This window comes from Homo sapiens, chromosome 17 (genome assembly GCF_000001405.40).
Source record: "Homo sapiens chromosome 17, GRCh38.p14 Primary Assembly".
NCBI lineage: Eukaryota > Metazoa > Chordata > Mammalia > Primates > Hominidae > Homo > Homo sapiens.
This window is the reverse complement of record NC_000017.11, coordinates 14,846,710-14,864,430: the sequence shown is the minus strand read 5'-3', so window position 1 is coordinate 14,864,430 and position 17,721 is coordinate 14,846,710. Positions and strand designations below refer to the sequence as shown.

Sequence of the window (17,721 nt, the reverse complement as noted above, 5' to 3'; positions counted from 1 at the left end):
AGGTCTTGTCAATGGTTGTATGACAGTTTTTTTCATAAAGCCAATTACAGTTTCCATAAACAGAGATTCCTAGCAATCTCTCATAGATGTTTCTATCAGTGAAATGATCCTCACACTGGATGTCTGCACATAGTTTACAGTAGTAATTGTCATAGTTATGTCTTCACATTTTGACTGATGGCACTATTTTCCATAGTACTTATTACATCAATGCATAAAGGTAATTTTCACTAAGATAGATAGATATGAAGAATGAAGATAGATAATTGCAGGCAGTGAAAACCTAAATATAAAATACTTGTTGAGTTGCAAAAGCAATAAATGCTGATTATAGAAAAAGTTAGATAATATTGGATTGAAAGAACAAGACTAAAATCGCCAGTATTGCTGTTACCCCAGAATCCCACTGTTAGAATTTTAATATATATAATTCTAGAACCTATTTATGCGTGCACAAATCAATACGTGAAAAGGCCTGTACCCTATTTAGTTCTTTAAATTTCACCATTAGATTAGCATGTAGGCAAAAACATATTCTCAATATGAGGAGGCTTCAAATTTTCTACTGTATAGATGTACCATAATTTATCCATTCTCTTATACTTATTAGCATAATTTTCTAGCACTAGAACTTTTGGGTCAAAATTTACAAACATTATAAATACGTTTAAAGTACATGTTGCCAGTTGTCCTGCAGAAAAATTATATTTTACATTCTCAACAGCAGTACATGTAAGAGCTTTGGTTACTCAAACCTTAGCCTGCAGTGGACTTCTCAAGTATTTGCCAATCTCATTAGCCAAAGTAATAGCCTTCATATTCAGATTTTCTTTTCTCTGATGACTGGCAAATGGCCTACTATTTATACCCTTTATATAATTATTCCTGTGACCTCTTTTTATATTGGTGTGAACTCTTCCTATAAGAGATTATCAGCCCCTTGCCATGTGTAGCCAATGCTTTTCCAAATCTGACATTTATGTTTCAGCCAGTTGGCCTTTTGATGTCAGCCTTTCCTCTCCTCATGACTCTCAGTTCTTGTTTCAGAGAGGCCATGGCTCCCTGTGCTTTGAAATCTAAGATATATTATCTTCCTCGGCATACCATTGCTTTAAAACCTCAAATGCCATTCCAATTTCTATCTGTGGTGTGATTTTCTCTTTTCTTCATCTTTGTCCAAACTGTTATGTGAACTCTGCTAACCAGTCAGGATAAGTGGCTTGCACTTGGCCCTGCAACCCTTCTTACCTTCACTTGCCCAGTGACTGAATCTGCTTCTCAAAGTCAGAGGTAGGAAGGCAGGTTGTGCATGGCTTCAAGTCCAGCCCCCAGTTTATAACAGGATCTAGTGTATCCCTGCACCTTCAGGAGGACACATCTTCCTCTTTTCTCATTACATGGTCCTCTTCTTCTCTGATCTAACATAGGCCAATTATCAGCAGGCATCTCCACCACAGTCCTTCCTATCTCTTCCCCTACCACTTGACTTGAAGCTCTTTTCTTCTCTGTAGGCACTGGGAGTTGCCTATTTTGCAGCTTCTGCTTTATTCCTAAATGTTTTGTGGGATCCTCAATCTCTGTCTGGTTGTAGAAGTGCATCAGGGCTAGAAGGTGGGAGTAGCAGATCGGGGGAGAAGAGGGAAGCGAGGCAGAAAACTACCGTATTTTGATAGTCCCAGGGAGCAGCACCAGAAAACAGAGGAGGCCAGTTGCCCCATGTTTTGGTCAATACTCACTCATCACCTGTCCCGATTCAAGGTACCTTCTACCATTTTCCGTGACCTCTTGTTTTCATGATTGAAAGTTCAACCATGAGCTGAAGTCTGAGTAGAACTTTTCTTAATCCACTTCTTTCTGTCTTATAATTAATACCAGTTCTTCAAAGTTTCAGGCATACTTAGTGGAGAATTCAATGACCTTCATAGTTATTTTTGAAACAAAAGCAGAGAATAACTGAAGTGCAACAACTGTTAACATGTATCTTCTATCCACAAATGGTCTCTGGGCCTCTTCTCCCACTTCCTGTGTAATGGTTTACTTTTATAGAAGATTCTCACTGCATAAATAGATATTGTATCATGGCCCTTAGGTTATGGGGAACACAGGTAAGGCAGATTTTAAAAAGTGATTCATGTGCCACACCTTTTGAAAGGATTCTTATACAGGAGAGACTGTACAACATATAGCTAGGAATAATTTTTTTAACCCTGAGGTAGTGGGCTAATGTAAGAAATAGCATGTTTGGGAAGGTAAAGGGCAGATTTCAACTTTCTAATTCGAGAAGAAATGAAACAAACATCTGAGCATCCACCACTTGTGTATTAGTTATTTATTGCTGTATAATAAATGATCCCAAAACTTAGTGGCTTAAAACAATGAGAAACATTTATTGTAACATGCAATCATGAGTTCAGGAGCAGCTTGGCTGGGTAGTTCTGGCTTGGGATCTCTTTTGTTATTGCAGTTTGATGTCAGCTAGGGTTACAGTCATCCAAAGGCTTAACTGGGGCTGGAGGACTCTTTTCCAAGGCAACTCACTTACAAAGCTGACACTTTGGTAAAGGATTTTGGTGGGAGGCTTCAGGGTCCTCCCCATTTGAATGTTTTCATAGGGCTGCTTGAGTGTTTTCATGACATGGCCTGTATCCAAGACGAGAAGGCAGAAACTGCAATGCCTTTCATAATCTACTCTGATAAGAGAAGGCTAGTCTTGGCCTCACAAGACTAGCTGTGATTGAGTGTAGAAGGACACCTCACAAAAACGTGAACACCAGGAGGTGATTATTGAGGGCCATCTTGGGAGATGGCTACCAAAATACGTCAGATCCTCTTTTATTTCTTTTTATTCCTATCCATTTTGTGTAACACATGGAAAAAATAAAGCACAGAAACTGGTAAGTGACAGACATAGGATTTAAACCCAGAATTCTCTGGCACCTAAATCCATGCTCTACCCACTGCAGTGGGCTTCAGAGCAGGTGGCTGTGTCTCTGTCACCTGGGATTCTGGAGGAGGAGCCTGAGGCAGTAGTAGTCTCAATGCATCATGGCTTTCCAGGGTTAGTAAGTGCCTGAGTAGGGGTTCACAACCAAGGATAGTTGAGTTTAATTTGTAGCTTGAGACCACATGGAATGTATGAAGGGAGGACATGGAGCAGATTGGCTCTGGAATGAACTACAGGTTGAATGGGCAGGAGAGGTGACCAGGAGTAGAGCAGAAGAGTATGTGCATTAGAACAAAGGCTAGAGTGATCTGCATTGTCTAACAATCACTTTAAGGGAATGTAGGGCCTGTGGTTATGGGGATAATAATGAGGAAGATAGTTTCAATCAAATTGTGTGTAAGACAAAAATGAGGCTAGGGTAGATATGTCATCTGAATCCAGGTGTGTCAACTTACTTGGTAACAAAGGAGCAGCTCCAGTTCTGTTTACAGTGTGAGAGTACACAATGATTATGCTCCAAAGGGCCCCTCTGACACAAAGCTAGTTGCCCGAAACAACCTTGAAACAGACCCATGATCTCTCTTCCAGGTAGTTCTCTTCTGAAATTGGGCATGTTTTGGAAAGAATTTAGCTCCTCTCCCTTCTGATGTTTCTCATTTGGAGAGCTAAGTGGATTTTAACTATGACTTGTCTGAAGATTATCTGCTTGGGAAAAATGGCTCAAGCCCCTGAAAAGTTTCCCATGGAACATGCCTAGTGAGAAATGCTTAGCTTGCGGGGAAGTTGATCTTTTAGAGGTAATGATGCAGTTCAGGCTCTATTACCTGCTTTAAGCTTCAGAGAAAATATTCTTTAAATGGAAACAGATTGAGAGGGCAAATGGCAAACCTGTGGCTCTTGAGCTCTTCTTCCCCATTAACCAAGGCTAAAAGGCAGGCCTTGGAAATCCCTTTTCAAGAGCTGCCAATGACATAACTTCATTTTAATGTACTACAAGTTCTTACGGGCACATGCTTGATTTCATTTTTTCATCTGAACTTCTGATGTAAAGGAACCCAGTGCAACTTTTAACTTGGCCAATGTCTGAAAACCAGGCTGCTGGATTCTGAAGTACATCATCAGCAGAATGAATTCTTTTCATCTTTGTTCTCTACTTTTTATTTGCCTGCATAAAGGAAAGAGAGTCCCTTTAATGTTGTGTGGATAAAAGCCACAAGAAAGAGATAAAGCATGGAACATGCACGGGGCCCTCGGGGTAGACAGAGCAAGGAGTTTTGGATGGCTCTTTTCAACAAAGAAAGGCATATTGCTAGTTTAGACAATTACAGACAAGACAACTGTGGTTTAATTTGCATTAATTGAGAACTGTCCCATTGTGTACAAGGAGATTTTGGCAATGACAGATGAAGACTGATGTACATCTATAACCGACAGTCAAACAGATTATTACATTGAGGGGAAAACAAATAGCTTGAATGTTGCTTTAAAGCTATTCACTTTTGGCCCTAAAAAGTCACCAGAATTTCCAAGCATGGCTTAAAGCAGAGTCTTTGCCGTCTTCCTGCTTTCTCCAAATTCCTTATCAAAGGTCAAGAATGCAGTGCCCTTGGCATATTATCATGTCTGCATATGTTCCTTTTCAGCCACTGACCTAGTGTTCATTTTAAGGGCCCAACTGTGGATATTCCTACTATGTCCACCCTCTTGTCTGACTATATTTCATTAGTCCTACTTACTACTTTTAAGACCAGCAGAAGGAATGATTCATCCCTCTCCTCGTTAAATATAGGAATGTGTTCTTTTCACATTACAGCAGCAATGGCCACAGAAGAGAATTTTATTAAGGTGGACAAAGCCCTCCCTTAACTTCCTTTAAATTCCAACGTTCAGTTAAGTGGAGTGAGATCATCCTCCTCAGGGAAAACTATTAAGCCCTTAATTCATCTTGAGTTAATTTTTGTATAAGGTGTAAGGAAGGGGTCCAGTTTCAGTTTTCTGCATATGGCTAGCCAGTTTTCCCAACACCATTTATTAAATAGGGAATCGTTTCCCCATTGCTTGTTTTTGTCAGGTTTGTCAAAGATCAGACAGTTGTAGATGTGTGGCATTATTTCTGAGGCCTCTGTTCTGTTCCGTTGGTCTATATATCTGTTTTGGTACCAGTACCGTGTTTTGGTTACTGTAGCCTTGTAATATAGTTTGAAGTCAGGTGGCCTGATGCCTCCAGTTTTGTTCTTTTTGCTTAGGATTGTCTTGGCTATTCATGCTCTTTTTTGGTTCCATATGAAATTTAAAGTAATTTTTTCTAATTCCATGCAGAAAGTCAATGGTAGCTTGATGGGGATAACATTGAATCTGTAGATTACTTTGGGCAATATGGCCATTTTCATATTGATTCTTCCTACCCATGAGCATGGAATGTTTTTCCATTTGTTTGTGTCTTCTCTTATTTCTTTGAGCAGTGGTTTGTAGTTCTCCTTGAAAAGGTCCTTCACATCCCTTGTAAGTTGGATTCCTAGGTATTTATTCTCTTAGAAGCAATTGTGAATGGGAGTTCACTCATGATTTGGCTCTCTGTTTGTCTATTACTGGCGTATAGGAGTGCTTGTGATTTTTGCATATTGATTTTGAATCTTGAGACTTCGCTGAAGTTGCTCATCAGCCTAAGGAGATTTTGGGCTGAGACGATGAGGTTTTCTAAATATACAATCATGTCATCTACAAACAGGGACAATTTGACTTCCTCTCTTCCTATTTGAATACCCTTTCTTTCTCTTGCCTGATTGCCCTGGCCAGAACTTCCAATACTGTGTTGAATAGGAGTGGAGAGAGGGCATCCTTGTTTTGTGCCAGTTTTGAAAGGGAATGCTTCCAGCTTTTGCCCATTCAGTATGATACTGGCTGTGGGTTTGTTATAAATAGCTCTTATTCTTGAGACATGTTCCATCAATACCTAGTTTATCGGGAGTTTTTAGCGTGAAGGGGTATTGAATTTTATCAAATGCCTTTTCTGCATCTATTGAGAAAATCATGTGAGTTTTGTCACTGGTTAAGTTTATGTGATGGATTATGTTTATTGATTTGCATATGTTGAACCAGCCTTGCATCCCAGGGATGAAGCCAACTTGATCATGATGGATAAGTTTTTGATGTGCTGCTGGATTCGATAAGACCTAAAACTATAAAAATCCTAGAAGAAAACCTAGGCAATACCATTCAGGACATAGGCATGGACAAGGCTTCATGACGAAAACACAAAAAGCAATGGCAACAAAAGCCAAAATCAACAAATGGGATCTAATTAAACTAAAGAGCTTCTGCACAGCAAAAGAAACTATTATCAGAGTGAACAGGCAACCTACAGAATGGGAAAAAATGTTTGCAATCTATCCATTTGATAAAGGTCTAATATCCAGAATCTACAAGGAAGTTGAACAAATTTACAAGAAAAAAAACAACCCCATCAAAAAGTGGGTGAAGGATATGAACAGACACTTCTCAAAAGAAGACATTTATGTGGCCAACAAACATATGAAAAAAAGCTTATCATTGGTCATTAGAGAAATGCAAATCAAAACCACAATGAGATACCATCTCATGCCAGTTAGAACGATGATCATTAAAAAGTCAGCAAACAACAGATGCTGGAAAGGATGTGGAAAAACAGGAACGCTTTTACACTGTTGGTGGGAGTGTAAGTTAGTTCAACCATTGTGAAAAACAGTGTGGCGATTCCTCAAGGATCTAGAACCAGAAATACCATTTGGCCCAGCAATCCCATTACTGGGTATAAACCCAAAGGATTATGAGTCATTCTACTATAAAGACACATGCACAGCTATGTTTCTTGCAGCACTATTCACAACAGCAAAGACTTGGAACCAACCCAAATGCCCATCAATGATAGACTGGATTAAGAAAATGTGGCACATATACACCATGGAATACTATGCAGCCATAAAAAAGGACAAGTTCATGTCCTTTGCAGGGACATGGATGAAGCTGTAAACCATCATTCTCAGCAAACTAACACAGGAAGAAGAAAACCAAACACCACACGTTCTCACTCGTAAGTGGGAGTTGAACAATGAGAACACATGGGCACAGGAAGGGGAACATCACACACCAGGGCCAGTCAGGGGGTGGGGGACTAGGGGAGGGATAGCATTAGGAGAAGTACCTAATGTTGATGACGTTGATGGGTGCAGCAAACTACCATGGCACGTGTATACCTATGTGACAAACCTGCATGTTCTGCACCTGTATCCTAGAACTTAAAGTATAATAATAATAATAATAATAAAAGAAATTAGTAAGCCCTCACATTTCTTTCAGGTGTCTTACTTTTTCATGAAGCTTTCCATATCGACCCATTCCATAGATGAGCAAATAGAGACTTGTGAGACCTGCAAAGTTAGGCAACCCGAGGGGAAGTTTCTGGTAATACAATCCAGGTGAATTTTCTAACACCCTATGAATGAGCTGCAAGCCTAAGGCTAAACGGAAAACCAAGTCCCAATAATTTTCACCTTTCCTTCAAATTAAGGAGACAGTATTTTGACATTTGTATAGCCCCAGAGAGATCTCCTGCTCGTGAGCTGAGCTTTAAAGTATTATTGGATATGCTCCATTGAGTCTTCAGGTTTGAGCAGCATTTATCCAAAAAGCAGAACTTCAACGTATTTCTCTGAAAATCACCCTGGTTTAAAATATCCAGGCTGCTCTGTGAAAGCACCTTTGCCTTTTCTCCTCTCAAGCTTTCTTCATATGCTCAAGTAAACAAGCCACGCTGAAGCTGAAGGACTCAGACCAAAAACAAAAGTCAAGGGGAAGGCCCAGAAAGCGGGGCCAACACATTCCCACATTTCCATATTTCCAGATTTGGGGTTCTGTGTTCAGAGCATGAACTCTCTCAAACGTTCTGCTCCCATCGGTCTGCCTTTTTAAGCAGCAAGATTTGTTGCTGGATAATTCTAAATGACCATCGCATACTAACAAAGCCATCCTATTTAGACGTGGGCAGATGAGATAGAAAATGGGTGGTTCGGGCAGATTTCATGAGGTCTAATAAATCTTCAGTAAATTAAAGCTCATCCCCCGCTCCTCCCTTCGTGGGCTCTTTGTCTTGCTAATACACATTAGGCCTTGCCTGGCTTCACACTTTCAGGCATTTCAGAGGTGAGGCCTGTACAAAGCTGCAGATGTGGAGACGGAGGAGACCTTTGCCCCAAATGTTACCCATTAACATTAGCGTGGCCCACAGAAGAATTTTACTATGGTTCTCCCATCTCAAAAGAGCTCCCAACGAGCAACTTGGGAGCTTAAAGCAACAAGAAGAGAGGTGGTGAAGAAGCAGAGAAGGCCACTGTATATCTCTGTTTCCAAATTGTGTGGTTCTGGTTCATTCTTTTAAAATATCCAGAGAGAGAGAGAGAATGAGACATGGCCTTTATAATTACAAAAACAATACAGTTTGAGTATGTATAAATGATAGTACTGACTGGTGTAGAGTGAAAAGTTAATCACCCTCTCTGCCTACATTTTGATAACTAATGTTAAGTTTCTTATGTATGCTTCATGAAAATTTCTAAGCACTTGTAAGCACACAACCACCTTTGAAAAAGGAACACATACAAATGGGATCATACCGTCCTGCAGGTTGCTTGATGCAAGAAGAGTAGCAAACTGGAAAAACATACATGACAGAAGACTAATTTCCTTAATGCATAAAATACTGGTGTAACTCAATAAAATAAGGAGTAGTTACCCTATGGAAAAATGAGCAATATATTAAAAAAACAGCAGCCAACAACAACAAAAGTGGCCAAAGAAAAGTTTCCCATTCAATTGAACAAATAAAATATTAAACAACAAGCTGCTACCATATTTCTCCTATCAGCGTGGCACAAATTCATAAGCTTACTAATTAATATCCAGTGTTATCAAGGATGCAAGAAAACATATTCTCATAATCGGAGTAGAAATTTTTGGACAGCAATTTGACTAGGTATCAAATGAAATATCCATATATCCTTTGACTTAGCAACTTTCTATTGGGGTTTTTCTTATTGACAGAACTTTGTACGGTCCTACAAATGTATGTACAAGAATGTTTACTACAAGCAACACTAATAGGAAAAAAGAGAGGAAATCTATATTTGCATAAATAAGAAATAGTTTAAATAAAATACAGACCCTCTATGAAATGGAACACTAAAAGTAGAGGTTGTCACAGAAACCCTCCTTCAAAGGGATAAGAACTAGGAGGGGCCTTAACTGATTGTTCGGATTTGGCCAGGTAGATGAGAGGAGAGGAGGGGAAGGGTATTCAAGAGTGGTTTGTAGTGAAGACCGCTCCTCTCCCAACAATCCTCCAGATTCAACCCCATCTAGCCCCATGGCTGCACAATCTGGAGGGTAGATCGGAGGCAGCAGCAATAGTAGAAGGATAAGCAAGGATTTAAAGTGAATCTACCCAGAATCAGAATGCACAGCAATTAGGAGCTATGGTGACAATGGGGGGGTTCTATTTTTCCTACTCGCAATAGCTCATTGGGCACCTGCTGGCCAGGCAATGCACTCTGGGAGAAAGAGTGATGCATATGCCAGGAACAAAGTCCTGTTCTCATAGAAAATTATGTGTTTTCTTTCTCATTCCATGCAGCAAATATTTTGGTCTGGGAAAATGAGCACATGCTTCTTTTCTGCACCTATCTCTTTACCTATAAATTTAGCCTCTCATTTCACTTGTGGCTTCTGAATTGCCTGGATCGCAACACGCATTAACAAACAAACACACAGTTATAGCCAAATCCACCTATAGGAATTCTGAAGGGGATTAACCTCACACAGGTCACATTCTGAGCAAGGCATGGCCACATCACCATCTCCTTTCTTCCTGTGCTGTCTTGGGCTGTTTCTGTCTTAGACTTCCATGGCTTCATTTTCTTCCAAATATTTCCACTGTGCCTTCTGCAACTTTGTCCCATAATAAATAAATTCTGTCTCTTCACAGAACATTTCTCCAACCTTTCCTACCTGGCCACAGCTCAGAAGTGGAGGAACCATTGTTTCACCAAATCTTGCAAATTCCAAGCATTTCCCTGTGCTTTTGTTCTTGCATTACACTCAACCAAGAAAATCCCAAACCTGGGAGAGTCTAACAAAAGCCTCCCGAGGGCAGCCCTGCACAACTAAGTCCTGCTAGGAAAAAGACTCACAACAGAGCAGATGGATAAGCAAAGATTTGAAGTGAATCTACCCAGAATCAGAATGCATCTCCTGGTGTGTTCTGCCTTCTGTAGTGACTGTTGTCATACCTCCTTTGCCACTCCTTTTCACCTTTGACTTCCGCCCATACCAAACGAAGACCAATTTCCATCACCACAACTACAACCCCCGCCCCCGCCTCTGCACTCATTGTCTTCTCTCTCCAATTAGAGTGCAGGACATTCCTCTCCTGCATTCTAAGACCAACTCCATCCATTTTGCCTCCTCACTGACCTCATTTCCTCACCCACATGCATTTTCAATTTTCTTCTCTCTCTCTTACTCTCTTCTCCCAGATCACTGCCTTCAAAAATCAAACATGTTCCAGGTTCTCCCATCTGAATGAACTCTCACTGCATCTTGCATCTTGAGCTGTTCTAAACAGTTGTAGATACATACCATCTTCTCTTCCTCCTCCATTCAATCTCGCACCCTACCATTCTATTGAAATTGCCTCAGGAAAGGTCAGCATTTCACTCTATGTGGCTAAATAAGAGACAGTTTAATCTTCATTTGTGCTTTCAATGGACTCCTTCCTCCTTCTAGAACTTTCTCTTCTCTTAGTTTCCATGACACCTCTCTCTCCTTTCTTCTATTTCTCTGGCATTTATCTCTCAGCTAACTTTTCTGACTCACCCTCTTCTACTAACTCCTTAGAAATTGGGGCTTGCCCACCTTCTTGCTCTGTACTTTCCTTAGGCAAGTTTATCAGTCTTTTACATTTAAATAATATCTCTATAAATAATATTACTATTTACAAAACTAATAAAATTTATCAAGTTATTTGCACATCTTAGCTTATCAGTAACTTATCACAAAAACCCTATACAAACAATAAGCATATTACATAAAAAACAGGAACTGGCTCAGTAGGGTAAGATTTGCCTAAGGTTGCACAGTAAATTGTAGACCCTGTTGTCGCTAGTCAAGTCCCAGGCTACTTGACTTCAAAACCTTATTCTTCATCATTGTACTCCTAACAATCCTACTGATAGGATTTCAAGTTCCTATCTCCAGTCCAGGCACTTTTTTGGAACTTCAGGATCAGACAGTCAAGTGCCAGTGCACCTACCACCTGCTTCAGTTCAACATGCTCAGAACTGAACTCTGAACGCTTTCCTCCCCCAGATCTCTTCCTAATCTGCTTTTGCCTTGAATTCCCCATCTCAGTAGATAACACCCTGATATGGTGTGAATATTTGTCCCCTCCAAATCTCATGATGAAATGTAACCTCTAGTGTTGAAGGTGGGGCCTGCTGGGAGGTATCTGGATCATCAGAGTGGATCCTTCATGAATGGCTTAGCCAATCCCCACGGCAATGAGTGAGTTCACAGGAGATGTGGTTGTTTAAAAGTGTGTAGCTCCCCTTGTCCCCCCTCCTCCACTTGCTCCTGCTCTCATCATGTGAGGCACTGGCTCCCGCTTCACCTCCTACCATGATGGTAAGCTTCCTGAAGCCCTCACCAGAAGCAGTTGCCAGCACTTGAGCACAGCTTGCAAAACTGTAAGCCAATTAAACCTCTTTTCTTCATAAACTACCCAGCCTCGGTATTTCTTTAAAGTAATATAAGAACTAATACACACCCTGTTCTTCCAGTTGTTCCAATTTGGATTCATTAATGACATCTTCTATTATCATTTATCCAGCTAACAAGGCCTGGAAATACACACACTCACACACACACATACACATATGCACACACAGATTTCTCTCCAGCTTCTTAAATAGTGCAAATTGATTGTCATGTCCCTCTTAAACTCCCCCTGAAGCTCTACAATGATTTAATGATAATGTCAAAAATTATTTCCATGATGCACTACACTCTCCATGATTTGTCTTCTTCTTACCTCTGTAGCCTTATCTCCCAAACTCTGTCCGGTAATAATTTCCAGCCACCCTGGCCTTCTCTGTTCTTCACATGTGCTCTTTCCATGGGTAATTTTCCTGCTAGGTCCCTTGTTTTCCTATTATCCCACTTCACATCCCTCTTCTTAACCTTTAAGAACCAGATTAAACTTTTTTCCTCATTTAATCTCATTGCACCTTGGACATTTTCTTCATGGCACTTATTACAATTATAAAATTGTATATGTTAAACACAAGCATGTTTACATGATTAAACATGATTAAACACAATCACGTTTAATATTTATTTCCCAATAGACCAAATGCTCTATAAAAACAAGGAATGGCAATCTGGATAACTTACGCATCCTGAACCTTGCATAGTGCTTGAAATATACTTGAAATTCAGTAAGTATTTGTTGAATGAATAAATAAAGCAAAGGTATGACGGCATACCAAGCAGAAGTATCAAAGACTAGACAGCAAGGTCTAGGTATATGGTTCTCAAATTGGGGTTCCCAGACCAGCTTATGATGTTGCTGCTGGTTCCAGTGCTTGTAGGCAATAGTTTCATCTGTGAAATGGGAATAATTTCTCTCAAAAAACGCTATTGGGAAAATTAAATCCTAGTATATGAGAAAGCACAGTGTCCTATAAACAATTAGTATGAAATAAATGCTAATACCTTTCCTTGGTCTCTATTGTTCCCCCCAAACAAGTGTCATGCTATTTAAAAGGCAGCCTAAGTAAAAAGATTATTTGGGAAACTGTTATCTGTGCTGAGACTTTTAGAAGCGTAAGGTAGAATCAAAAACCTCCCTGGACCAAAATGGAATATATAAAGTCTTTCAGGACCACTCCAACCAATTTCTTTGTTTGGAACAAACAAACAAACAAACAAACTTTCTTTGTTCTTTTCAATTGGATTTTAGCTTAATAGTAACCTAGGACATCTAAGTAACACTTAAACCTTAGTAAGTAGATAATGGTTCCCAGGAACTGACAGTATTTCTGGAAAAGGAAAAGATCAAAAACTAAAAGGATTTTCTACACTAAAGCTCCGATCCATGAGCTCTTCTTATGTTGCATCCTGTTGGATGCAAGAGATAGGCTAACATCTGCTTCTAAAAGATAAACTTAAGATAGTGTGATTGAATGTGTATGATATTCCCCCCCTCTGTTAGTCTTGGTCTTGGCAGACTCCAGCTTCCAAATTTATGGGCTGTAGAATACTGATATCTAATGGGTTTAGGAAATGTTGGCTGGAAACATGACCTTCTTGGTACAGGTCTTGCCATCAGTTAACTACTAATTTAAGATTCAGTGAAGGAAAATAAATTCAGATCTCAGTGACAAAAATTGCCCTTAACGTCTTTCATCTTTGTTGTTAATGCTAATGGCTAATAAGGGGTACAGAACCCTTAACCCAACTCTGTCATTTTTACGGCACAGGGCAAATGGAACACCCTGGAGTTTTAAAGCCTAACAGCTTTAAGATTGTGTTTTTGTTTTCAAATCTCACTGCCTTAGTTCAGTTTATTACCACCTCTCTGCTGATGATATCACTTCTCATCAGGTTTTTTGGTGCCCAGTCTCTTCCTTTCCCAAGAAAAGAAGATTACTGCCCTATTCATCCCAATTAATATCACCCAGTGAGATTACACATAAAGGATGCAGCCAGCATCTGGCATGTCCACTTCTATAGTGAGTTATTGAAAGTGAAATATTAGAGATAGACGTCTTAGATTTTCATGCCAATCCCGAAGGGTGAAATGACTTCCAAGGTTACAAAGACTGCTCAAGGCAGAGAGGAGAGTAGACAAAATGTCAAATTCTTTCCATCACTACTGTTAGTCTGGACTTTTTTTCCATCCTAAAGATCAAGATCACTAATTATTCTTGTAATGGTAACAACAGTACATAGATTCTAACATTAAAGGGTATCATATAGAAGCAATAAGAGGCATTCACAATTTTCCTTATTCAACTAATTTTTGAGCATGTATCATGGGTTAGACACTTTTCTAAATGCTTCTGATTCATCATAAGCAGAAGAAAATCCCTTCCTGCATGCAGCCTGCAGACTGAGGGCGTGTGTGTGTGTGTGTGTGTGTGTATGTATGTGTAGAGAAGTGAACCAATTAGAAAACAAATGTAATATGTAACTTGTTAGATGATTAAAAACTATGGGGCTAGGGGTGAATTAGAACAAGGTCACGGGCATTGGGAGTGCCAAGGGGATTACAGTGTTAATTAGGATCGTCCAGGTAGGCTACAGTGACATTTTAGAGAATACTTACAGGTGAAGGAGTTACCTGAGTGAATATTTAAGGGAAAAGTTTTCCAGGCAGAAGAAATAGCCAGGGCAAATGTTCACATGATAAGTCCCCTTAACAGACAACTTAGCTTTATTAAGATTCCCCTGCCCTTTCTGCCACCATTGTCCTTATAGTGATGTTGGGGACCATACGTTAAAAGAAAGACACATGAAGCATTAACTCCTCCTTCTAATAGGACCCCCACCCTTATTGGCAGTTGTTTGTGGCTTCATAGAATATGACTAGCAGCCCTTTATCATCTTCCAGATGCTAGGGATATAGAGATCTCATAGAGATTGCGTAAAGATCTCATTCAATCTCACAACCACCCAAGGAGTAAGTTAGGTGCTGTCTCCACATTACAGAAGGTAGAATCAAGAGTCCTGGAAGAGATATCCCCTACCCAAAGGAACATTACTCTACTTTCAAATCCTATAAAACATTTCTTCATACCAAGCTTCTTTCTTTACAAATTATCTATATTGCAAGTATATACATTTTCTATACTATTATTATATATTAATGTTCTAAAGAATATGGAAAGGTAAAAACTAAAATTCGTCTTTTCAAATCCTTGGACACCAAAGCCATCTTTTTGGTAGCAGGGACATTAAATCCCAAGTCACGTTTTGGGGGGCCCTTCTCCCTCCCCACATTGCATTGGAATCTTTACAGTCTTCTGCTGTCCAGACGACTCAGAGAAGGATCCTCTGGTCTTCAGTCCATATTGGTCACCTTTGATGTGATCATTGTCTGGATTTCTACGTTTTCTTGAAAGCAAGAGAAACTGATCTCTACTTTAGGCTCAAGGGCAATGTCCAAGCCTGACAGCCTCTCTGTTCCTTGCCTGGCCTGCCTGGGGACCCTCTACCCAGTCCCATCTGATAAAAAGCCCCCTTCTTGGGGGAGGAGCCTTAAGTCCTTACTGCTCATGGAAACTGCAAAACCTAATTCCCCTAGGTTTTCAGTCTTTGAGGGCTCTACAAGCACCTGAATTTCTGGAATGAGTCACTTCTACCCTTCTAACTCCAAGCACTGGACTCCAATTCCACATACCTGGACCCCACATTAGTGTCCTTCATGAGCCTGACACTCTAGTAGCTTTCGTGCTCTTTCAAGAAGGAGAATATAAAAAAAGCACAGACCTTTAGAGAAACTAAATTCTCTGCATGTGGGAGAAGAAGAAAAAAAAGGAGATAAATATAATTTAGTTCTTTTTCCTTAATAATTCATATATTTTTAATTATATAAACAAGTTCATTTCATCCTCATATAAAATCTTGTACCTTGTTTGGTCTCACTCAAAATTACCTCTGAGATCTTTTATCAGTTTATGCGTAACAATCCCTGTACTTTTTGAGAGCTGCATTGTATTCTAATAGCAGCTTCCATATTGACAAACTTGTTTCCCATTTTGTGATTGATTACTAACAATGCTCCAGTAAGCAATCCTACACAGATAATTCAGTGCACTTTTATGAATATAGCCATATAGTTAAATCCTAGCAGTGGCACGGCTGAGTCATTGCTTGGGGTATGTGAACTTAAATATAGTCAGATATTTCAGACTAGGCAACATGGCAAAACCGCATCTCTACAAAAAATTAGCTAGGTGCGATGGTGCCTGTTTGTAGTCCCAGCTACTCAGCAGGCTGAGGCAGCAGGAGGATCACTTGAGCCCAGGAAATGGAGATTATAGTGAGCTAAGATGGCACCACTGCACTCCAGCCTGGGTGACAGAGTACAACCCTGTCTCAAGAAAATCAAAGAAAGAAAGAGAGAGAGAGAAAGAAAAGAAAGGAAGGCAGGAAGGAAGGAAGGAAGGAAAATAAAAGAAAGAAAGATATCATTAACTGTCCTCCAAAAAGATTGTTCTAAGTTCCCAACAAATCAAAATTGTAGCTATTTTTTGCACACTCCTTCAAAGTCTCACATTTATTTAGTGCATCCTATGTGAAAGGCTCTTTTCTAAGTGCTTTTTGTATATTTTCTCACTCTATCTTCTTCACAACTTTGTAAGTATTTTTTTTCCATTCTATAGAAGAGGAGTCAAGCACAGAGAGGCTAAGTAATTTACCTGAGGTAACCCAGCTAGTAAGTGGTGAAACCAAGCTTGGAACCCAAGGGTAGTCTGATTTAAGATACTATATATTTTTTACCACCTATAAATCTTAATATTTACCAATTCTGACAGGTTAAAAACTGGCATTGCATGGTTATATTTGCTACTTTAATTATGAATAAGAGTTAATGTATTTGTTTGCTATTGATATTTATTTCTGTGAGCTGTTCATGTATACACGTTTTTGTTTGTCTGTCAGGTTATATGTTTCATTGATCCGTATGAGTTCTGCATGTCACAAAAATTAGCCCTTCATCACATGCTGTAAGTTTTTCTTCCCCTTATACTGTTTGCCTCGACTTTGTATGTAGCATTTAAAAAGAATTTTGCTATGTATTATGAGTTTTAAATTATGTGATTAAACTGATCAGTTTTGTAGGGACTTCTAGAAGGGGAAGGAAGGAACAGGGAGGCAGTAAGGGCTGAAAAACTATGGGGTACTATGCTTACTACCTGGATGATGGGATCGTTTCTACTCCAAAGCCCAGCGACAGGCAATTTACCCATGTAACAAACCTGCACATACACCTCCTGAACCCAAAGTAAAAGTTGAAAGAAAAAAATAATAAAATTATCAGTTTGAGTTTGGAAGATTTTTATAATGCTTTAAAAGGCCCTCCCACAATAGGATGATAAAAAATAGTTTGCCTGGGTTTTTTGTAGAAAGAATATTTTATTCAATATATACATTTTCAATAAATTTGGTATATTAAGCAAAGGGATGCTCTATTTTTTCCTACGCTATCAATTCATTTGAACCAATGTTATCTAGAAATTTCAGAAGTGTCACCTTTATCATATTCCGAATTCATATTTATATCATATTCTAAAATTAAGTGGTTTTTAGTATATTCACAAAATTGTACAATTATCACCACTGTCTAATTCCAGAACCCCTATATATTTTGAGGCTAATTCTAAACCTGCATTCAGTTAAAGATACCTGTGTCTATTGGTGCCAGTAACACCAGAATCTTTTAACTACTGAAGCTGTAGAATGTACATAAATCAATAAATTTACTCATATGCTTTTTCCTTTCTGGAAGGCAGGGAAGCATGGATAATTCTGCAGAGCAGTTATCATTTATGGGATACAAGAAACCCCAATATTTTTACTTTAATGAAAACTGAGATTGCGACGGTGCTTAACTCACCACACTGAATGTATGCCTGTTATCCCTTACTGATTCCGGTTTGAATTCAAGATCTGTAATACTTTGT

General features: G+C 39.4%; 1 long non-coding RNA gene across 1 annotated transcript in view; it reads right to left on the bottom strand.

Moving 5' to 3' along the window:
- Nucleotides 1-17,721, bottom strand: part of LINC02096 (long intergenic non-protein coding RNA 2096) — a 65,950-nt gene that overhangs the window by 36,124 nt on the left and 12,105 nt on the right. The window lies entirely within an intron of this gene.